General features: G+C 39.5%; 1 protein-coding gene and 1 pseudogene across 12 annotated transcripts in view; one reads left to right on the forward strand and one right to left on the reverse strand.

The window, feature by feature from the left end:
- The window catches only part of SCP2 (sterol carrier protein 2), a 124423-nt gene that overhangs the window by 15658 nt on the left and 84727 nt on the right, over positions 1-24038 (forward strand). For 8 of the 12 annotated variants that reach the window (NM_002979.5, XM_005271103.5, NM_001193617.2 and 5 more), the window contains 4 exons: positions 5076-5147; positions 7822-7953; positions 11807-11871; positions 18570-18696. In NM_002979.5, the coding sequence (NP_002970.2) occupies positions 5076-5147; positions 7822-7953; positions 11807-11871; positions 18570-18696 (396 nt within the window). The remainder of the gene's footprint in view (positions 1-5075; positions 5148-7821; positions 7954-11806; positions 11872-18569; positions 18697-24038) is intronic. The other 4 variants (NM_001193600.2, XM_047427508.1, NM_001007098.3 and 1 more) reach the window with 2 other exon arrangements.
- Positions 589-1089, reverse strand: H3P2 (H3 histone pseudogene 2; annotated as a pseudogene).

Here is a 24038-nt window from a genome sequence, read left to right on the forward strand (position 1 = left end):
TCAGGTGATCCACCGACCTCGGCCTCCCAGAGTGCTGGGATTACAGGTGTGAGCCACTGCGCCCAGCCTAACGGGCTTCTTTTTATCCCTGCAGTTATACTAAAAATTCACACACGCATGAAAATGGAAAAACTACCAATACTTGATTTCTGTACTCTATTTTTCCACTTGCAATCATATGCTTAGGTGCCCTTTGACTCCATGGAAAAAAAATCTAATGTTCAGAACTACCAATAACAAGAACAGAATATTTTTGTTTTTGAGAATGAAATGGTTCCCAACATGGTGGGTTCTTTTTTTTTTTTTTGAGACGGAGTCTTGCTCTGTCGCCCAGGCTGGAGTGCAGTGGTGCAATCTCGGCTCACTGCAAGCTCCGCCTCCCGGGTTCACGCTATTCTCCTGCCTCAGCCTCCTGAGTAGCTGGGACTACAGGCACCCCCCACCTTGCCCAGCTAATTTTTTGTATTTTTAGTAGAGATGGGGTTTCACCATGTTGGCCAGGCTGGTCTCAAACTCCTGACCTCGTGATCTGCCCACCTCGGCCTCCCAAAGTGCTGGGATTACAGGCGTGAGCCACCGCACCCCGCCCATAGTGGGTTCTTAAGCACATTCTCTGCATATGTAGTATGCTAGCTTGATGTCTGTTGTTACTCATTTGGCATGGATAGTGCACAGGTTGGTGTCTTCAAAAAGGCCAACGAGATAGGCCTCACTTACTTCTTGCAAAGCACCAATAGCTGCACTTTGGAAGTGCCAATCTGTTTTTAAGTCCTGAGCAATTTGTTGCACCAGACGCTGGAAGGGAGGTTTGCGAATCAGTTTAGTGGACTTCTGATAACGTCTGATTTCACCGAGTGCCACAGTACCAGGCCTGTAATGATGAGGTTTCTTCACCCCTGCAGTAGAGGGCACACTCTTGCGAGCAGCTTTTATAGCCAGTTGCTTCCTGGATGCTTTACCAGTGGTTCATTTCGGGCAGTCAGCTTTGTACTAGCCATGGTATAGAGACCTCCTTACTTACCCTCCTTCTTTGGGTGGAACTCTGCCAGCTAGAGGTGGTGCTGGTGATAGAGAGGGGCAGCAGTGCTGGAACACCTAAATAAATGTTTTGGTTTGGGGGCAAGTACTCTAAGCTTAGGTGCCGGTTGTTTAGGGGAATTCTGGGAAATACCTGCTGTCAACACCTGGAGACCTTCTCTTTCATCCCATAAGTTGTTAGGCACAGTCCTTTTCCTAGGGAGCCTCCCCAACTCAATTCCTGCTACGTTGTTGCCAGGCAACCCAAAAGGAGTTACTGTGTTTATTCCTTAGATGTTCCTGCTTATTACCATAAGTAATATTATGGGGAAATCCAGTGCATATATATTTAGATTTTGCTTCAACTTTTTTTTTGTTTTCTTTTTTCTCTTTCTAACTATTCCTTCAACATCAACTCTGATTATTCAACTCAATACTTAAATGTTATACAAGGAATCAGAGCATGTCTGTTCTCCAAAAGGAAGGTTCAAGAGATTTGATTAATTGCAGTGGTTCTCAGGGCAGACATTATTCATTTAATGTTTATCTTCTGCGTTGTTAAATGTTCTCCTCTCAATTGATGCCTCCAAATAGTTTCTGCCTGTCTTTGAAGTGGGAGATGCTTTGATCAGCTTTCTCTATATTTTTTGACCAATTTCTTTTATTTCATTAAAAAATTTGAAATTACTTTAGTGTGTGTATAATATTTTGATTATAAAATGGTAATACTGAGGTAAAGTTAATGATGTTTGAAATTAACTCTGGGGATTGACTAGTAATAAGAAATCTGGCCGGGCATGGTGACTCACGCCTGTAATCCCAACACGTTGAGAGGCCGAGGTGGGCGGAGCACCTGAAGCTAACTTTTGTATTTTTAGTAAAGATGGGGTTTCACCCTGTTGTCCAGGCTGGTCTTGAACTCCTGACCTCGGGTGATCCACCCGCCTCGGCCTCCCAAAGTGCTAGGATTACAGGCGTGAGCCACCGTGTCTGGCCTGCTGTTAGCATTTAAAGGAGGTACAGAGTACCAGCTAAACATACCTTTTTGTAACTCATTCTTTCCCACTGATTATAAGAGCAATGCATGTGTTTTATTGTAACGAATAATTATATACTAATGAAAACAAAATTTTGACCCAGACCTAGTCACTATTAGTATCTTGGTGTTATTCTATTTTAGCATTTTTCCCCTATGGCTATATGGGATCACATTTGTAGTTTTGTATCCTATTTATTTATTTATTTAGATATTTTTAAGGACAACATCTCACTATGCTGCCCAGGCTGGAGTGCAGTGGCTATTCACAGGTCCAGTCATAGTACACTCCACCTCAAACTCCTGGGCTCAAGCAGTCCTCCTGAGTAGCTGGGACTACAGGTACTCGCCACTGTGCACAGCTTGTATCCTAATTTCTGAAATTTATTTTTTCATGAGCATTTCTCCTTCTACTTAAAATTGTTTGGAAAAGGGCCAGGTGTGGTGACTCATGCCTGTAATCCCAGCACTTTGGGAGGCTAAGGCAGGCAGATCACCTGAGGTCAAGGGTTCGAGACCATCCTGGCTAACACGGTGAAAACTCCATCTCTACTAAAAATACAAAAAGTTAGCCAGATTGGTGGTGGGCGCCTGTAGTCCCAGCTACTCAGGAGGCTGAGGCAGGAGAATGGTGGGAACCCAGGAGGTGGAGCTTGCAGTGAGCTGAGTTAGCACCACTGGACTCTAGCCTAGGCAACAGAGTGAGGCTGTGTCTCAAAAAAAAAATTGTTTGGAAAAGAATGTTTAAGTTGTGCATAATATATATATATATATGCCATTATTTTTGTTGGACATTTAGGTTCCCAAGTTTTTGATATTTTAGAAAAATTGTAATGAACATTTTGCTAAATAGATGTTTGTTCTAATCTCTGTTTATTTTTGAGGAAAGAGCCTAGAAGTGGAATTGCAGGAATAGTGAATATGATCATTTTTAAGTTTTTTTGTTTTTTTTTTTTAATTGAGACATGGTCTCCCTCTGTTGCCTAGGCTGGAATGCAGTAGTGTGATCATGGCTCACTGCAGCCTTGACCTCCTGGGCTCAAGCAATCCTCCTACCTCAGCCTCCCAAGTAGCTGGGACCACAGACGCACACCACCACGCCCCCCTAATTTTTGTATTTTTGGTAGAGACAGGGTTTTGCCATATTGCCCAGGTTGGTCTTGAGGTCCTGGGCTCAAGGAATGCTCCTGCCTTGGTCTCCCAAAGTGCTAGGATTACAGGCATGAGCCACTATGCCTGGCCTCTTTTTTTTGTTTGTTTGAAACAGGGTCTGGCTCTGTTGCCCAGGCTAGAGTGCAGTGGTGAGATCATGGCTCACTGTAGCCTTGACCTCCAGGATTCAAGTGATCCTCTCTCTTCAGCTTCCCAAGTACCTGGGACCACAGGTGTATGCTACCACACCTGGCTAATTTTTATTTTTTGTAGAGATGGGGTCCCAGGCTGGTCTCAAAACTCCTGGGCTCAAGTGATCCTCCCACTTCAGCCTCCTAAAGTACAGTAAGCCACTGTGTGAAACCAAGATTCTTGCCAAATTAATTTTCAGCGTTTACACCCGTAGAGTCTCATTGGCAACATATGAGAATGTTCTTCTCAACATAGTCTCATAAACATTATTATAAGACATTTGTTTTTTGTCCATACGTTAAGCAGGAAAAGATAACTCATTTTTTGACTAACCCAATTCTGTAACCAATTACTTCATAAATTATAATAATTGATTATTATAATTAGTATCTTTGTGAATTAAAAAAATTTCAAATACATTTATATGTTTAAAAAAAAAAAAAAAGCCAGGCTTGGTGGCTCACACCTGTAATTCCAGCACCTTGGGAGGCCAAGGGAGGTGGATCACTTGAGGTCAGGGGTTTGAGACCAGCCTGGCCAACATGGCGAAATCCCCTCTCTACTAAAAACACAAAAAGTAGTGTGGTGGTAGGCGCCTATTATTCCTGTAATCCCAGTTACTTGGGAGGCTGAGGCAGGAGAATCACTTGAACCTGGGAGGTGGAGGTTGCAGTGAGCCGAGATCGCGCCCTTGCCCTCCAGCCTGGGCGACAGAGCAAGACTCTGTCTCGAAAAAAAAAAAAAAAAAACGGAAAATACAGGAATAGAGGGCCGAGTGTGGTGACTCATGTCTCTTATCCCCTCACTTTGGGAAGCCAAAGTGGGAGGATCGCCTAAGCCCAGGAGTTTGAGACTGCAGTGAGTTATGATCACACCACTGCACTCCAGTGACAGAGAGAGATGTTGTCCTTAAAAAAAAAAAAAAAAAAAAAAAAAAAAGAATGAAGAGTGGCTTATAATTCTCAGGCCTGTTCCCCATGGACAACTTCTTTTAACTCGTTTTGCTTTCGTTCTTCTGGTGATTATCTAAATACTTCAAGTTTTTGATTTGTCAGTTTTAGATGTCTGTTTGCTGCTCACTGTCATAAATGAGGATTTAGCTCACACTTTTTTTTCAACCTCACTGTCCTCTTTCCAGTTTACTTACATAATTTTTCTCATTTACTTACATAATTTTTCTCAGTTCCTCTACTAGTTATTTCTGCCACTTTTGATAGCATCCTTAAGCTCTCTTTCTTGTTCCATAGACAGAGTCACCTCTTGATCTTTTCTTTGTAAGATGAGCACATTAGTGCTATCTGCTCCCAGTAATGACAGTCTTTCTCATTTTACCCTCTAGATGTGCAGTGGAGCTACAGGGATGAATAAGACAAGGGACAAGGACCTTGTCATTAAGGAGCTGTAAGACTCTTCAGATTTAATGTAGATAGATGTGAAGTTATAACAGAAAGTGTTAAGTACCAAAAAGGAGATACGGAAAAGTGATGCAGTAGCTTAGAGGAAAAAATGATTACTTCTGAAAGTAGAGATGTGACATGATTTGATGAAGGATTTGTCATTTGAATTGAGCATAGACTATATAGAGGTAGTTTACTTTGAGAAAACTCTAAACTTAATTTTCACTCTCCTAAAACAAATACTTAAAGCACTTTTTGATAAAAACCTTTCGTTTTTATAGGCAAGAAGGCTTTAGCTGATGCACAGATCCCTTATTCAGCAGTGGACCAGGCATGTGTTGGCTATGTTTTTGGTATGTATTAAACTGTGTATTCTAAAATTTTTTTACCTAAATCTAGCAGCAACTATACAAACAATGCGGAGGCATTTGTGAATTTTAACCCTCAAAAACTCAGAATTCATTCAATTATATTTGTATTGAAGAAAAAAGAAAAAAATCTCAGAATTCAAAGTCTGATTTAAGGGAATTACCACTATTTAAAGATTTCCCTTGTGTGTCAACCTAGTGTAATTTTTCTTTTGGTGACTATTCCAAATTATACTGTAAAGATCTTCTTTGGCCTTTTTAAAAATATGGCCAGGCACTGTGGCTCACGCCTATAATCCCAGCACTTTGGGAGGCCGAGGCAGGCGGATCACGAGGTCAGGAGATCGAGACCATCTGGCTAATACGGTGAAACCCTTCCTCTACTAAAAATACAAAAAATGCGCCTGTAGTCCCAGCTACTCAGGAGGGAGAGGCAGGAGAATCTCTTGAACCCAGGAGGCAGAGGTTGTAGTGAGCCGAGATTGTGCCACTGCACTCCAGCCTGGGCAACAGAGCAAGACTCCATCTCAAAAAAAAAAAAAAAAAAAAGCATACTGTTTCATTGAATAAATGTATTATAATTTATTTTATCAATCCCCTTTTAATGGATATTTAAAAGTTCCAGTCTTTTCACAGAATTTAAAAAATACTTAATTGTCAAATATTGAATATATTCAAGGTATAAAATAAGATGATTTATGTATATATTGTATAATAATTGCCACAATCCAGTTAATTAGCCATTAATTACCACCCATGCTGTACGTTAGATCCACAGAACTCGTTCATCTTATAACTGAAAGTTTGTACCATTTGACTAACATCTCTCTGTTTCCCCCAACCCCAACAACATTTTTTTTTTTTTGTTTTTGGCAAAGGGGTAAGGTGTGTGTGGGAACCCCTACATCATTTTAAATGATTATATGATATTCTACTCTTGAAGATCTACTACAGCTTATTTAGAAGTAGTAATGATATTTTCTAATTTCTAGTTGTTATAAAAATTCTATGAATATATACAGTATTATTAAAATACTATAGTAGGTGTTACTGTAGATGAATATTTGTGCATATCTATGATTCATTTCTTTGAGATATCAAGATATCAAGAGAATTCTAGAAGGGAAACGTACTGGGTTAAAGGGATGCAGAATATATTTATTGAAAAGCAGATCCCTAACTTTCCTGATTTTGCTGAAGACTCCTGGAGCCTGTACCTTCAGATATTCCCATCACACTGCTCCAGCATGTCTACCTTGGTGGTCATGTTACTTGTGTTTGAAATGCTTGTTCCTTGGTGCCATAAAGAAATAGCACTTGAACATAAATTTAATTTACTCAGCAAGGCCATTTTAACTTCCTGCAGAAAGGGTACACTCGCCAGCAGTTTTGCCACGAGAGTACACTGAGCAAAGGAGACAGGGTCATTTATAACCTGATGCGTCCACCCTACTGCTGTGTCCAGTTCCATTGGCTGGAACGGGACCTCACATTCTGTATTTGTCCTGATTGGCTAGCAACTTAGAACTTTTTAAAAGAGGCAAAGGCAGAGGAGAACAAAGGAAGGAGGAAGTAACTTGTGGAATGCTGAGAAAGGTAAAAACACCTTCAAATAAGGAAGAGGAACAGGCTATGACTTAATGCTTGCTTGGGCCAGTATAAGCATGCCAGGGCAAATATTTAGGCTAAATTGTGGGAGCTAAGAATGTAAAGTGTAATGATTTCTTTACCATGGCTAGCAGATATTTAAGAATGTTAGCACAGGTCTTTGAATAAATTTTGCTTCTAAGAGAAGTTACTATTTATTCCTAATTAAATGAGGAGGAAAGTCTTTGAAGAGGAACCTCTACTTTACTTTTTACACTTGGGAAAGGAAGGCACATGTGTATTTAACATGGATCATGTTTTCCTGGAATGCCTTGGCATGCAGGGTCTTTTAAACTTTTTGAAGTTGTGGAATCTTTATATGAAAAGTAAATCATGGCCTTTAATCACTGGCATAGGTTTAAAGATTTTATTTATTTATTTATTTATTTATTTATTTGAGACCGAGTCTCTCTCTGTCGCCCAGGCTGGAGTGCAGTGGTGCGATCTAGGCTCACTGCAACCTCTGCCTACTGGTTCAAGTGATTCTTCTGCCTCAGCCTCCCAAGTAGCTGGGATTACAGGTGCATGCCACCATGCCTGGCTAATTTTTTGTATTTTTAGTAGAGATGGAGTTTCACCATGTTAGCCAGGATGGTTTCGACCTCCTGACCGCGTGATCTGCCCGCCTCGGCCTCCCAAAGTGTTGGGATTACAGGCATGAGCCACCACACCTGGCCAAGGTTTAAAGATTTTTTTCTGACATTTAGGTGTTAATGAAATATTGCTTTCTTTATCATATAGCCTTAGCCAGATGGAACTGTTTTCTATTAACTGATCATTTCTTTACTTCTCTACCTCTGTATTATATAAAGAAAGTGCACATATATTCTGTTTTCAGTCTTTTTTGCAGAGTAAATGATGGTTAGTGTTAAAACTGTTTCTAAGATATTTACTGTCTTGCACATGTTATATGCTAGGCAAAGGTATAATATTGAAAAAACCCATAATGTAGTATTATGTTGCATTGCAACTCCATAATTCTCCATATTAAAATTTTTGTTTTTCTATTCAGGTGACTCTACCTGTGGGCAGAGGGCTATCTATCACAGTTTGGGAATGACTGGAATTCCTATAATCAATGTCAACAATAACTGTGCTACTGGTTCTACTGCTTTGTTTATGGCCCGCCAGCTGATTCAGGGTGGTAAGGAGTGCTTGTCTAGTGTACTTAAATATTGCCCCATTTTAATCATTTAATCACACGACCATCAGAGGAATTATTTTATAATGTATTTGTTTTAAAAAAGTCTTCATCAGGCCGGGTGTGGTGGCTTATGCTTGTAACCCTAGCACTTTGGGAGGCCGAGGGGGGTGGATTGTTTGAGCTTGTGAATTTGAGACTAGCTCTGGGCAATGTAACAAAACCCCGTCTCTACAAAAAATACAAAAATTAGCCGGGTATGGTGGCGTGCATCTGTAGTCCCAGCTATCTGGGAGGCTGAGGTGGGAGGATGACTTGAGCCTGGGAGACAGAGATTGCAGTGAGCCTAGATGGCACCACTGCACTCCAGCTTGGGTGATAGAGCCAGACCTTGTCTCAAAAAAGCCCCCCAAAAAACAAAAAAAAGGCTTTATCAGCCAGGCATGGTGGCTCACACTCGTAATTTCAACACTCTGGGGGACCAAGGCAAGAGCATCACTTGAGCCCAGGAGTTCAAGACCAGCCTGGGCAACGTAGTTAGAACCTGTGTTTATACAAAATTAAAAAAAATTAGCCAGGCGTGGTGGTCCCAGCTATGCAGGAGGCTGAGGCTGGAGGATGTATGATCATACCACTGCACTCTAGCCTGGGCCACACAGTGAGACTGTCTCTAAAAAAAAAAAAAAAAAAAAAAAATTAATTAAGGTAAAATAAAATTAAAAAGGCATTGTGAGATATAATTTATAGACCATAAAACTCACCTTTTTAAAGTGTACGATTCAGTGTTTTTTGTATATTCACAGAATTGTATACCTATCACCACTATGTAATATTAGAACTTTTTTTTTTTTGAGAGGGAGTCTTGCTCTGTTGCCCAGACTGGAGTGCCGTTGTGCCATCTCAGCTCACTGCAACCTCCACCTCCCGGGTTCAAGTGATTCTCATGCCTCAGCCTCCCAAGTAGCTGGGATTACAAGTACCTACCACCATGCCTGGCTAATTTTTTTGTATTTTTAATAGAGACGGGGTTTCACTATGTTGGCCAGGCTGGTCTCAAACTCCTGACCTCAAGTGATGTGCTCACCTTGGCCTCACAAAGTGCTGGGATTACACCTTGGCCTCACAAAGTGAGGTGTGAGGCTTACCTTGGCTTCACAAAGTGCTGGTGTGAGCCACCACACCTGGTCATATTAGAACATTTTTATCACCACAGAAAGAAACCCTGTACCCATTAGCATTCATTCTCTATTTTCTCCTCCCCTCAGTCCCTAGAAACCACTAATTTACTTTCTTTTTGTGGATTTTCATATTCTGAATATTTATATAAATAGAATTGTACAATACATGGCCTTTTGTGGTTTATTTCACTTAACACAATGTTTTCACAATTTATTCATGTTGTAGCATATATCAGTACTTAATTCCTTTTCATGGCCAAATAATATTCCATTGTATGGATATATCACATTAAAAAAATAGATGGACTGTATTTTAAACGTACAAGAAAAATAAAAAATAAAATAAGTAGAAATGAGGTCTTGCTATGTTGCCCAGGCTGATCTTGAGCTAATGGCTTTAAGCGATCTTCCTGCCTTGGCCCCTCAAAGTGCTAGGATGGCTACACCACATTTCTTCTACCTGTTTATCAGTTGATGGACATTGTTGCTTGCATTTTTTTTGTTTCCATCAGTTGAGGGATTGTTTCTATTTTTTGGCTGTTATGAATAATGCTGCCATAATGGGCATGGTGTCTGGCACCTGTAATCCTAGCTTCTTGGGAGGCTGAGGCGGGAGGATCACTTGAGCCTAGGAGACTGAGGCTGCAGTTTGCTATGACTGTGCCACTATACTCCAGCCTGGGCAACAGAGCAAGACACTGTCTTTTAAAACTTGGGGTAGCGGGGAGGGCGTAGATAATGCCATTGTAAACATTGTGTATATATATATATTTTCTGTGGCTGTGTATTTTCAGTTCTTTTGTATATGTATCATATCCTATGTTTCCATATATTCTAGGGTTTTTTATTAGGTCCTCTCTCTGTTCCACTGATTTGATTGTTGATCACTATTTCACTACCCAGCATTTTAATTATTGGAACTTTATATTGTTTGATAATGCTAGTGGTCCCTGTTTCTGTTCTTTTATTTTTTTTAAGAAAAAATGTGGCAATTCTGTCTTTTTTTTTTTTTTTTTTTAGTTCAGCTTCTGCAGGAATATTTGGCTCTTCAGTTGAACTTTAACATCATTTTTAGGGGCCCCCCTCTCTCCAAAAATAATTCTTTTGAGATTTTCACTGGGTTCATTTTTTAGTTTTTAATTTCAAATTTTAAATGTTTTTCTAAATGTGATTCTAAATTAGCTTTTTATATTCATTACTGAAACACATTTCTACATTAACATGAAATTTTATTAACATATTGAGACTCAAGAGAAGAATTAAGCACCTTATTGATTTTTCCTCTTTTCTTTTTTTAGAAACAGGGCCTCACTCTCTCACCAAGGCAAGAGTGTGGTAGCATGATCTCAGCTCCTGCCACCTGTGCCTCTTGGCCTCAGGTGATCCTCCCACCTCAGCCTCCTAAGTATTAATAATTGGGATCATAGGCGTGCGCCACCATACCCAACTAATTTTTGTATATTTTGTAGAGATGGGGTCTTGCCATGTTGCCCAGACTGGTCTTGAACTCCTGGTCTCAAGCGATACATCTGCTTTGGCCTCCCAAAGCTTTGAGATTACAGGTGTGATTCACCGCACCTGGCCCGATTTTTCCTCTTATCTAGAAGAATATAAAGATTTTCTCTATAATTTTTCTGTTATTAAAAACTTTGTTTGGTGGCTTATGTTTGTAATCCCAGCACTTTGGGAAGCTGAGGTGGGTGGATCACTTGAGCCCAGGAATTTGAGACCAGCCTGGGCAACATGGTGAGACTCCATCTTTACCAAAAAAAAAAAAAAAAGCAAGAAAACTGGTCATGGTGCCACAGGCCTGCAGTCCCAGCTACATGCAGACTGCTTGAGCCCAGGAGGTCTAGGCTTCAGTGAGCCATGATTGCACTACTGCACTCCAGCCTGGGTGACAGAGTGAGACACTGTCTCAAAAAAAAAAACAAAAAAAACAACCAAAACCCAGCAAAACCTTTGTGGTGCCGGGCATAGTGGCTCATGCCTGTAATCCTAGCACTTGGGAGGTCGGGGTGGACAGATCGCTTGAGCCCAGGAGTTCAAGACCAGCCTGAGCAGCATAGTAAAACTCTCTCTACAAAAAATAAAAAAATTAGCTGAATGAGGTGGCACATTCGTGTGCCACCCCATTCAACTAATAGAGAGCTGAGGTGGGAGGATCGTTTGAGCCTGAGAGGTTGAAGCTGCAGTGAGCTGTGAGCCTGCCACTATACTCCAATCTCGGTGACAGACTGAAACTTTGTGTCAAAAAAAAAAAGCAAACAAACAACAACAACAACAACAACAAAAACCTTTGTGGGGTTATAGTATGTTTTTATATTTTATTTAAATTGGCTTATTTATTTAGAGACAGAATTTCTGGGCTCAAGTGACCTCCTGCCTCAGCCTACCAAGTCACTAGGACTACAGGTGTGTACCACCACACTCAGCTAATTTTTCAAACATTTTAATTTTTTAAATTTTTGTAGAGACAGAGTCTTACTATGTTGCCTGGCTGGTCTTGACCTCCTGACCTCAAGCAGTTTATCTGCTTTGATCTCCCAAACTGATGGGACTATAAGTTCGAGCCATTGTGTGCTCACTTGACGTACTTATTTGAATTGAAGTATTTAATGGTATTTTGTTGGTGTTTGGAAATTTGAATTTTCAAAATAATTACGTTTTCCTTTAAGGTGTGGCAGAATGTGTCTTGGCTCTTGGGTTTGAGAAGATGAGTAAGGGAAGCCTTGGAATAAAAGTGAGTGTTATTTTGGCATAGTTACTAAATGAGCTAATATAACCCAAAAGTTGAAAGGTGATACTTACATGTATGCATAGATCTTGGTATTTTAGAATAGTGAAGAATCTTAGAGATAATTTTGTTCAAACTGTTTATTTTGCCAATGATGAAACTGGTGTTCAAGGATATGAGATTATTGGAATTTGAAGTTGACTTATCTATTTAATTTAAAAGCCATTCATTTATTCATTTTTTTGATAAATGAATTACATTCAATAAATGAAATTCATTCAACAAATTGAAGAGAGTTAATAAAATGTGGGACTTCTGATTCTGGTAATGGCAAGCCAAGTTTTTTGAGCCAGTTCTCTCACTGATAACAACTAAAATATTTGGATAGAATATGAAAAAAGAAATCCTAAAGGTATTGAAGAACTAGCAAGAGAGAGGAACTGCAGATGAGTGCCAGAGAATTAACATCAGCATTTGCAGCTACTTTTGCCTTGAAGATCTTTGCTGATCAGGCAGCTGTGAGCCACAATTTTAACAGCCCCCTGGAATGAAAGGGGAAATAGTCAAAGCTCAGGCCTTCCCAAGATCAGAAGTTTAATACCCACATTAAATTGATACTACGTAAGGTAAACTCTTTGGGTAGGATGAACCTGAAGTAAAACTGCCCACTTCCATGAGATGATAGGGAGAGTTACCATGGCATCCAGTAAAACAGGGGAGGAAAAAAAAAGAGAAAGAATAAAAAACTCAGTAAAACCTTTCATTGAGTTAATAAATCACAGACTAGCCCTCATGTGGGATCACTGCCAACATTCTCATTATCTAAGTCGTCCAGGAAACCTCAAACCATGAATTGAATCTAAATTAGTTCCAGAATGGTAGTAACCTAGACAAATTTTCTTCTGGAGGAAAGCACCTTTCTTCCAGGCTTTGAGAACCCTTCAAATAAAATTTTAAGGACACGCAGTTAAAGATAACCAAGGATTAAAGAAACAAGACACCACAATTGAGAACCGAAAGGAAGAAGGAGCAGTAAAAACTAATCTCTGAAGACCGCCAAAACTAGATTTATTGGATGCAGATTTAACCATGTTTGTTATGTTTAGAGAAATAAAAGACAGCTTGGGAACCGCTTTAGGCTATAGGAAATTACAAAAAAGAACATTATTGGCATGAAAAAAAAAAACTAAACAGAATTTATAGAAAAGAAAAATGAAATAAATAAAATTAAAAATTCACTCATGCCTGTAATCCCAGCACTTTGAGAGGCTGAGATGGGCGGATCACTTGAGGCCAGAAGTTTGAGACCAGCCTGGCCAACATGGCAAAACCCGTCTCTACTAAAAATACAAAAAATTAGCCGGGTGTGGTGATATGCGCCCGTAATCCCAGCTACTCGGGAGGCTGAGGCAGGAGAATCGCCTGAGCCCAGGAGGTGGAGGTTGTGGTGAGCCAAGATGCGCCATTGCACTCCAGCCTGGGCGACAGAGTGAGACTCCGTTTCAAAAAAAAGAAAATGAGTTGAAGATAATTTTTTACTGTTATCTAAGATTATACTATTATCTAACTTATGTGATCAACCTGATCCCATTTTCTCTGTTGAAACATTAAAGGACCTCTACCCCAAATTAAGTTAAATATATATGATAATATTTCTTAGAAACCACAAAAGTGGCACTTAATAGGCATTCAAATCAATGAGTTGTTTCCCTCTTTAAAGAATGCCTTTAAAAAGTGGTAGAAGTTAGGTTGGATCTTAAAGATAATTTAGGAGTGGGTAAGGGGAAATGAGCTCTTCCTAGATGTCAGGGAAAGCATCATGAGCCTAGTCATGGGTGTTTGAATGAATATGATATACCTAGGGAACAGTTTTAAAAACTGTCTGGATTAGAGTGGCAGCTGGAGAAGACTGAGAAATAAGGTTGTGTAAGTGAATATATAATGTTTATGATACATGAAAAATATGTATTTTTTTCAGCAGTGAATGGTACATATGCTGGTAACTTTTATTTGAAAATTATTAAAAATTATAGTAAAATTCATCCATAATCCCATAGTACAATTAAAAAGAAATATATATAAATTAAAAGTCCCTCCTTCTGCCTTTTTTTTTTTTTTTTTTTTTTTTTGAGACCAAGTCTCTCTCTGTCACCCAGGCTGGAGTGCAGTGGTGCAATCTTGGCTCACTGCAACCTCCGCCTCCTGGGTTCAAGCGATTCTCCTGCCTCAGCCTCCCGAGTAGCTGGGACTACAGGTGCCCGCCACCACGCCTGGCTAATTTTTGTATTTTTAGCAGAGATGGGGTTTCACCATATTGGCCAGGCTGGTCTTGAACTTCTGACCTCGTGATCTACCCACCTCGGCCTCCCAAAGTGCTGGGATTACAGGCGTGAGCCACTGCCCCTGGCCCCTGGCCCCTGGCCCCTGGCCCCTTCTGTCTATTTAATCTTGTCCCTCAGAGGTAACCAATGTTAATAATTAAGTATCTATATCTCCTGCCATTTTCCCAAATTAATACAGACACATGTAACTAAGCATTCATATGCATATACACACACACATGTTAAAAAACCTTTGTAAATTTACTGCCTGGGGTACCCCCCTTGCCCATGCCTCCAGCTACAAAACAATTCAATTTTTTTTTCCAAAATAAAACCTCAGCTAGCTCTGCCAAAAAAACAAAACAAAACAAAACAAAAAACCACACATAAAAAACCTTTGTAAATATATAGAGAAGATTAATGATATTTTACATGTTACTTTTTCAATTAACAGTTGAACACCTTTCCTGATTAGAACATATTGATATACAGTGAGCCATGACTGTGCCACTGCACCCCAACCTGGGCAACCGAGGAAAATTTAATTTTAACAAAGTCCAGCTTTTCAATTCTTTCTCTCATGAATTGTGCCTTTTGTGGTGTATCTAAAAAGCCAATGCCAAACCCAAGGTCATCTAGGTTTTCTGTCACATGTGTTTTACATGTAGGTCTGTGATCTATTTTGAGTTAATTTTTGTGAAGGGTGTAAGGTCTGTGCCTGGATTCATTATTTTCATGTGGATGTCCAGTTGTCCCTGCACCATTTGTTGAAAAGATTATCTTTTTTCCATTATATTGCCTTTGCTTCTTTGTCATTGTTAATTTTTGTGAAGGGTGTAAGGTCTGTGCCTGGATTCATTATTTTCATGTGGATGTCCAGTTGTCCTAGCACCATTTGTTGAAAAGATTATCTTTTTTCCATTATATTGCCTTTGCTTCTTTGTCATATATTTATGTAGGTCTATGTGTGAACTCTTTATTCTGTGCCATTTATCTATTTGTCTAATTTGTCTGAATTTTTTTTTGTCAATACCACACTGTCTTAATTACTGTAGCTTTAGGTAACTCTTAAAATTGAGTAGTGTCAGTCCTTCTGTTGAATTTTTTCACAAGTTTTTTTTTTTTTTTGAGATGGAGTCTCTGTTACCCAGGCTGGAGTGGAGTGCGGTGGCACAATCTTGGCTCACTGCAACCTCTGCCTCCCTGTTTCAAGCGATTCTCCTGCTTCAACCTCCGAAGTAACTGGGATTACAGGCTCCCACCGCCATGCCGGGCTAATTTGTGTATTTTTAGTAGAGACGGGGTTTTACCATGTTGACCAGGCTGGTCTTGAACTCCCGACCTCAGGCGATCCACCTGCCTCGGCCTCCTAAAGTGCTGGGATTACAAGTATGAGGCACCGCGCCTGGCCACATTTTTTCACAAGCTTTTTAGCTATCTATTGAGATGTTCTTATTTTGTTTGTTATTCTTTTTTAGTTTGTTAATATGATGAATTATATTGATTGATATTTGATTGTTAGTCTATCCCATATTCTGGGGTAATGTTTGGTATTTGGTCATGATATATTATCCTTTTTGTATATTGTTGGATTTGATTTGTTAATTTTTTTCTTTTAAGTGACGGGTTCTCCCTATGTTGCCCAGGCTGGTTTCAAGCTCCTGGGCTCGAGCAATCCTCCCGCCTGGGCCTCCCAAAGTGTTGGGATTACAGGTGTGAGCCACTGCGCCGGGCCTGATTTGTTAAAATTTTGTTAAGGATTTTTGTGTTTATGTCCGCAAGGGTGTTGGTTTGTTTTTTTCTTTCCATTGTGCAGGTTGGTCTTGAACTTCAGGGCTCAAGTGATCTGCCCACCTTGGCTTCCCAAAGTTTTGGGATTACAGGTGTGAGCCACCACACCCAGTCTAGTTTTAATACGAGAATAATGCTGGCCTCATAGAATAGCTGAGAAGTGTTCTCCTCTCTTCTGTTTTTTGGAGTAGTTTATATGTAAATTGGTATTTTTTTCTCTTAAATTTTTGGTAGAATTCACCAGTTCACATCTGGTCTGGTGACTTCTTTTCTTTTCTTTAAAAAAAATTTTTTTTTTTTTTGAGATGGAATTTCACTCTTGTTGCCCAAGCTGGAGTACAATGGTGCAGTCTTGGCTCACCGCAACCTCCACCTCCCAGGTTCAAGCGATTCTCCTGCCTCAGCCTCCCGAGTAGCTGGGATTACGGGCATGCGCCACCACGCCCTGCTAATTTTGTATTTTTAGTAGAGACAGGGTTTCTCCATGTTGGTCAGGCTGGTCTTGAACTCCCGACCTCAGGTGATCCACCCGCCTCGACCTCCCAAAGTGAGATTACAGGCATGAGCCACCGCGCCCAGCCCTAAAATATTTTTAATTTAAAAAATATTTTTTTTTTGCATTCTCATCTTTGGGTCATGGCCTGGTGATTTCTTTATGGGAAAGTTTTCAATCTTCTGAGTTTATATATAAATATATTACTATTGAGGTTGTCTATTTTTTTTGTAAAGTGAGCGTTGATAGTTTATGTCCTTCACGGAATTTGTCCAGTTCATCTAAATTATTAACCTTATTGGTAAAAAGTCATTCATGTTATTCCCGTCTTTTTAATGTAGGATCTTTGGACGTGTCTTTTCCCTTCCCTTCTTCTGGTGTTGGTAATTTTTATCTTCTCTCTTTTTCCATGGTCATCTTTTGTCAGGGTGATCATGGAAAAAGAAAGTTTACAATAAAACGACCAGCTTTTGTTTTTACTGATTTTCAATTTTTTTTTTTTTTTTGAGACAGAGTCTCACTCTGCCGCCCAGGCTGGAGTGCAATGGCATGATCTCAGCTCACTGCAACCTCTGCCTCCCGGGTTCAAGCAATTCTCCTGCTTCAGCCTCCTGAGTAGCTGGGATTACAGGCGCCTGCCACCACGCCCAGCTAATTTTTTTATTTTTAGTAGCGACGGGGTTTCACCACGTTGGCCAGGCTGGCCTCAAACTCCTGACCTCGTGATCCGCCCGCCTGGCCTCCCAAATTGCTGGGATTACAGGTATGAGCCATGGCGCCTGGCCTATATTCTTTTTTCTAGTTTATTCTACTCACTTCTACTCATTCTTTTTCATTCTGCTCATTTTCTATTTCAATCTGCTCTCATTCTTGATGTTTCCTTTCTTCTCCTTACTTTGGGTTTAATTTATTCTTTATTTTAAATTAGCCACGCCCAGCTAATTTTTTGCAGAGACGGAATCTTGCTATGTTGCCCATGCTGGTCTCGAACTCCTGGGCTCAGGTGGGCCTTCCACCTGGGCCTGCCAAAGTGTTGGGATTACAGGCATGACCCACCATGCCTGGCTACTATGTATATGTGTGTGTGTGTGTGTGTGTGTGTGTGTGTGTGTGTGTATATGTGTGTATATATATGTATGTATATACATGTGTATATATGTATGTATATATATGTATATATGTATGTATATGTATATATGTATGTATATATGTATATATGTATGTATATATGTGTATATATGTATGTATATATGTGTATATATATGTATGTGTATATATATGTATATATGTGTGTTGTGTGTATATATTATGTGCGTGTGTGTGTGTGTGTGTGTGTGTGTATATTTATTTATTTATTCATTCCCAAGACAGAGTCTCACTCTGTCGCCCAGGCTGGAGTGCAGTAGTGGTGTGATCTCGGCTCACTGCAATCTTCACCTCCTGGGTTCAAGCAGTTCTCCCACCTCAGCCTCCCGAATAGCTGGGACTGTAGGTGCATACCACCACACCTGGCTAATTTATGTATTTTTAGTAGAGATAGGGTTCACCATGTTGGCCAGGCTGGTCTTGAACTCCTGAGCTCAAGTGATCCACCCGTCTCAGCCTCCCAAAGTGCTGGGATTACAGGTGTGAGCCACCACGCCCAGCCTATTTCCTTTGGTTCTTTTTTTTTTTTTTTTTTTTTTTAATTATACTTTAAGTTCTAGGGTACATGTGCACAACGTGCAGGTTTGTTACATACGTATGCATGTGCCATGTTGGTGTGCTGCATCCATTAACTTGTCATTTACATTAGGTATATCTCCTAATGCTATCCCTCCCCCCAACCCCCACCCCACAACAGGATGGAATAGTTACTGGCACATACTGGATGCCCAATAAATATTTCTTGAAAGAGTTAATACCTCTTTGGTCACTTGATTATTTTTTCTTCTTCCCATGTTTCCCTGTGGAGCATGTCTTAACTGATTTGATTCACATTGACAATTTCTGGTGTACTATGTGCTTAGAATAAATAAATATCTTAATAGCACTGTAGTAGTTTTGAAAGAGACACTTATCATGTCAGCTGCTTATGAAATTTTGTTCCCCCCTCTTAGTTTTCAGATAGAACCATTCCCACTGATAAGCATGTTGACCTCCTGATCAATAAGTATGGATTGTCTGCTCACCCAGTTGCTCCTCAGATGTTTGGGTATGCTGGAAAAGAACATATGGAAAAATATGGTATGTTACAGTTAAAAAACTTTGAGGCTTCTTACTAGTTATATACATGAGATGAGAAATGACAGTTATTTATTAAGGAACTGTGGAGGATGCCAGGATATATAAGATGTAAAATGTTTTTTGAATTAAATCGAAGTAATAGTTCTTGTAGAACTTAGTCATAGAGAAAGTATTTATATATAGACTATGGTATGGGAAGTACCTAGAGTACTCTATAGCAGGAAGTTGAAATAGGAAAAATAACACAAATCTTGTCTCCTTTAATCATGGACTATAAATTATTTTTTTCCAAGCTGAGGGTTTCACTCTGTTATGCAGGTTGGGTGCAGTGGTGCGATCTCGGCTCACTGCAACTTCCATCTCCCAGGCTCAAGCGATCCTTCCACCCCAGCCTCTCGAATAGCTGGGACTACAGATGTGCACCACCATGTTCGGCTAATTTTTTGTATTTTTGGTAGAGGTGGCTTTTTGCCATGTTGCCCAGGCTGGTCTCAAACTCTGAGCTCAAGTGATCCACCTGTCTCAGCCTCCCAAAGTGTTGGGATTACAGGCGTGAGCCACCATGACTGGCCATGGACTATAAATTGAGGATCTTAAAATGTCAACCAAGAAGAGGTGAAAGATCAAGCTATTCATACTCTACATTCAATATATCAGCAAGCCTTTTCTCTATATTCTCAGTCTATCCATTTCTCACCATTTCTGCTACTTTTGCTGTAGTGGCATAATTTCGCACCTGAAATTTAGGAGTGTTCTAACTGGTTTCTCTACTTCTGCTTGTGCACCTCCAGAGTCAATTCTCTACTTTATAGCCAGAGCCATGCTTTTAAAATATATCAGATCATTTCACTCCTGTGCTTAAAATTCTCCATTGTTTCTCATGACATTCAGATTGAAACCCAAATGTCTTCTTATGGCCTATGAGCTTCTACATGATCATTCCCTTCACCCTCATTAGCTCTCTGACTGTATCTCCGACCATTTTTTCTTTCACTAGTCTGCTCCAACCACACTATCCTTTCTTTCTGTTCCTCAAACACACCAAGCTTTTCTTCAGGTAGGGCCTTAGCTTCTACCCTAAGATTGTCAGAGCCAGCTCCCTTGCTTCCATCAGGTCTTTGCTTAAAAGCCACCTTCTGCTTTCTTTCATCACTCTCCTTCCCAGAACTTCCTATTCACTATCTCCTGCTTTATCATTTTATATGGCACCTATAATAATCTGACATATATCTGACACATACATATATGTCAGATTATTACAGGTGCCATATAACATGATATATATATATATATTCTTGTTTATTGACTCTTCCAACCAGAATATAAGTTCAACAAAAGCATGGATTTTTATTTGTCTTATTTCCTGCACATTGATTGTTAACCTAGAATAGTACCTGGCTAAACCAAGGATAAAAGAAAAAAAAAAAAAAGAATAGTGCCTGGCACAAATCAGTGTTGTGTAATTAATTCATCTTTAAAATTTAGAAAGACCCTCCATGACTATTCAAATCAAAGTAGTCCCCTCCTGTTATCCTCTTTCTTAGATAGCTTCATATTGCTTCCTTCATAGCACTTAGCACTATTTATGTTCATATATTTATCATATGTGATTTTACTTGTTTAATTTTCATCTTCCTTATTAGTCTATAAACTCCACGAAAGCAGGTCCATGTCTGCTTTGTTTACCTTGATATACACAGCCAAGCACAGAGCTTGGCATGTTATTTAACCAGAAAGAAGTTTTTTTTTTTTCTTTCTCTTCTATAGTCTGCAGCATATTTAAATACTCAAGAAACATTTATTGAATGAAGGAGTGAATTTCCATATGTATGTTATCTTATTCAGCTATCACAAGAATCCATTATCGGAGGTGTTATTATCTCATTTTATACCAGAAGAATCTGATATTCAGACAAGTTTTTGACCAGGATGATAGGGTCAATAAGTAGCAGAGCCTATGTTCCATTCTATTTCTGTCTCACTCAAAAGCCCTTGCGCAGCCCTTTCTCCCAGTAATAGTAGCTGCTCTTTGTTGCGTGCCTCACACATCTTAGATATTTTACACACCAAATATAACAACTATTTTAAGAGGTAAGTGTATGCCTATTTTTCATATGAGGAACCTGAAGCTTGGAGAATTTGAGTAACTTCTTCTAATAGGTGATAGGAGAGGGTTTCACACCCAAATCTGCCATACTATAAAACCTCCATTCTTTTCATTGTTTCTCATATAGCTATATTTAATTTTAAATAATAAAAAGCTTTTACTGTATATTAACTTTTAGTTTTCTTGTCATTCCTGTACATAGTTGAGGGACATTAAGTACTTTTTGTTAGCATTTATTATAGGTACAGAAACATGTTTTGCTTGAAATTTTCATTTGTGCTTGGCTTTCCTTTTTTCTTTTTTGACCTATTTTGTGAAGGGGAAGGAAAACTGAATATTGTAATAGCATTTTTGTTTAAAAATCATAAATATTTTAAATTACTTAATTAGATAATGAATGTGGCCAGATTATAATTTGAAATTAAATTTGTTTATGGTTGTCATTTGAAAGGTTTGTCAAATTTTTTTCTTTTCTCTCTTTTTTTTTTTTTTTTTGAGACAGAGTCTCGCTCTGGAGTGCAGTGGCATGATCTTGGCTCACTGCAAGCTCCGCCTCCTGGGTTCACGCCATTCTTCTGCCTCAGCCTCCCGAGTAGCTGGGACTATAGGCACCCGACCACCACACATGGCATTTTTTGTATTTTTAGTAGAGACGGGGTTTCACCATGTTAGCCGGGATGGTCTCAATCTCCTGACCTCGTGATCCGCCCAACTCAGCCTCCCAAAGTGCTGGGATTACAGGTGTGAGCCACCGTGCCTGGCCCAGGTTTGTCGATTTTAAAAGATGATATGCTTCATTTTTAGAGGTATATTGTAATATACTTTAAAAATATTTTGTTTAGAAGTAATTTCAGACTGAACAAGAATGTTGCCAAAATAGTACAAGAATTCCTAATACTTTTCCTCTAGATTTTCTAAAAATTAACATTTTGCCATGCTTGTTGTTTTAATGAATTCTTTTTACCTATATTGCTATGTAATTTTTAAAAAATGTAAGGCTGGGTGCTGTGGCTCACGCCTGTAATCCCAGCACTTTGGGAGGCCAAGGCGGACGGATCCTGAGGTCAGGAGTTCAAGACCAGCCTGGCCAACATGGTGAAACCCCGTCTCTACTAAAAATACAAAAAATTAGCCGAGCCTGGTAGTGCACACCTGTAGTCCCAGCTACTCGGGAGGCTGAGGCAGGAGAATTGCTTGAACCCGAGAGGTAGAGGTTGTGAGCCGAGATCGCGCCACTGCACTCTAGCCTGGGCAACAGAGCGAGACTCCATCTCAAAAACAAACAAACAAACAAACAAACAACAACAACAAAATTAATTTAAAAAAGTTTGAGAGTAAGTTGCAGTTCTTTCATAGTCACTACAGTGATAAAAATTGGGAAGTTAATATTGATATGATGCTATTATATAATCTACAGACCTCATTCTAAATTTCACCAGTTATCTCACTAACATCTTTTTCTGGCCCAAGAGCCCTCATAGTTTTTCTTTTTCAGTGTTTTCTTGCCTCCATTTATGCATAGGTTATGTGCATGGGTTTTTTTTGTTTTCTCCATTTGAACTTTACTCTCAATTTGTTGAGCTCCATAAAAAATCTTATTGGTATTTTTACTAGGATTGTATTAATCTTGTTAATTTAGGGAAAACTGATGTATTTATGAGGCTGAGTTGTCCTGTCAAAGAACAGGGATTATCTTTTTATTTATTCAGTTCTGTCTTTGTGTCTTTCAGGAGTGTTTTAAAGTTTTCTTCATATCTAAGTGTTTTATTTCTTGTTAAACTTATTCCTAAATACCTTCTTTAATTCCTTTAATCATCCTTGCTGCTGCTATTGCACATGGACTTTTCACTGGTGTTATATCCTCCAAGGTGGTCGTTGCTTGTGTATACAAAGGCTACTGATTTTTTTTTCCCCCCAACATGGAGTCTTGCTCCGTTGCCCAGGCTGGAGTGCAATGGCATGATCTTGGCTTACTGCAATCTCCATCTCCTGGATTCAAGCGATTCTCCTGCCTCAGCCTCCCAAGTAGCTGGGATTACAGGTGCGCATCACCAAGCTTGGCTAATTTTTGTAGTTTTTTTTTTTTTTTATTAGAGACCTGATTTTACCATGTTGGCCAGGCTGGTCTTGAACTCCTGACTTCAAGTGATCCACCTGCCTCAGCATCCCGAAGTGCTGGGATTACAGGTGTGAGCCACATACCTGGCCAGCTATTGAGTTTTATATATTAATCTTATGACTTGCTATCTCACTGAAGTTTTTAATTTTTGAGTTAGTTTTATTATTGATTTTACTTATAGGGGTTTCCACATATGCAGCTATATTATATCATCTACAAAAAGAGATGGTTTTACTACTTCTTTTCTCATTGTAATATTTGAACTGACTTATCTAATTGTATTTGCAAATACCATCAGTACAATGTTAAGTAGCAGTGGAAGACAGTAAGCATCCTTGTCCTGTTCCTGATCTTGGTGTTTTAAGTAAGGTACTGAGTTAAGCACATAGATATATCTATTATATGTTGAAAAAGTATCCGTCAGTGTCTATTTTCTTGAGTTTTTTTTTTTCCAGGAATGGGTATTGAATTTTGTAGCTTTTCCAGTATCTATGGAGATAATTGCATTATGTTCCCCACTTAGATCTATGGCTGGACTATTTTAGTAATGGATTCCTAACAGTAAACCAAGTTTGCATATCTGGAATAAATGCCGGTTGATCATGGTGTATTGCTGTTTTTAACATGGAATTAGGTTCTGTTGCTATTATTTTATTTAGTAATTTCAAATCATTATTTGTAAGTGATATATATATATATATTTTATTGTTATCAAGTTTGGGTGTTAATTTTATACTAAAGAAATAGGGGCCAGTTGTGGTGGCTTACGCCTGTAATCCCAGCACTTTGGGAGGCAGAGGCAGGCAGATCACGAGGTCAGGAGTTTGAGACCAGCCTGGCCAACATGGCGAAACCCCATTTCTACTAAAGATACAAAAAAAAAAAAAAATTAGCCGGCATGGTGGCATGCACCTGTAATCCCAGCTATTTGGGAGGCTAAGGCAGGAGAATCACTTCAACCCGGGAGGTGGAGGTTGCAGTGAGCCGAGATCATGCCATTGTACTCCAGCCTGGGTGACAGGACAAGACTCCGTCTTAAAAAGAAATAGGAGCCACGCACGATGGCTCATGCCTGTAATCCCAGCACTTTGGGAGGCTAAGGTGGACGGATTACCT

This window comes from Homo sapiens, chromosome 1 (assembly GCF_000001405.40).
Source record: "Homo sapiens chromosome 1, GRCh38.p14 Primary Assembly".
Taxonomy (NCBI): Eukaryota; Metazoa; Chordata; class Mammalia; order Primates; family Hominidae; genus Homo; species Homo sapiens.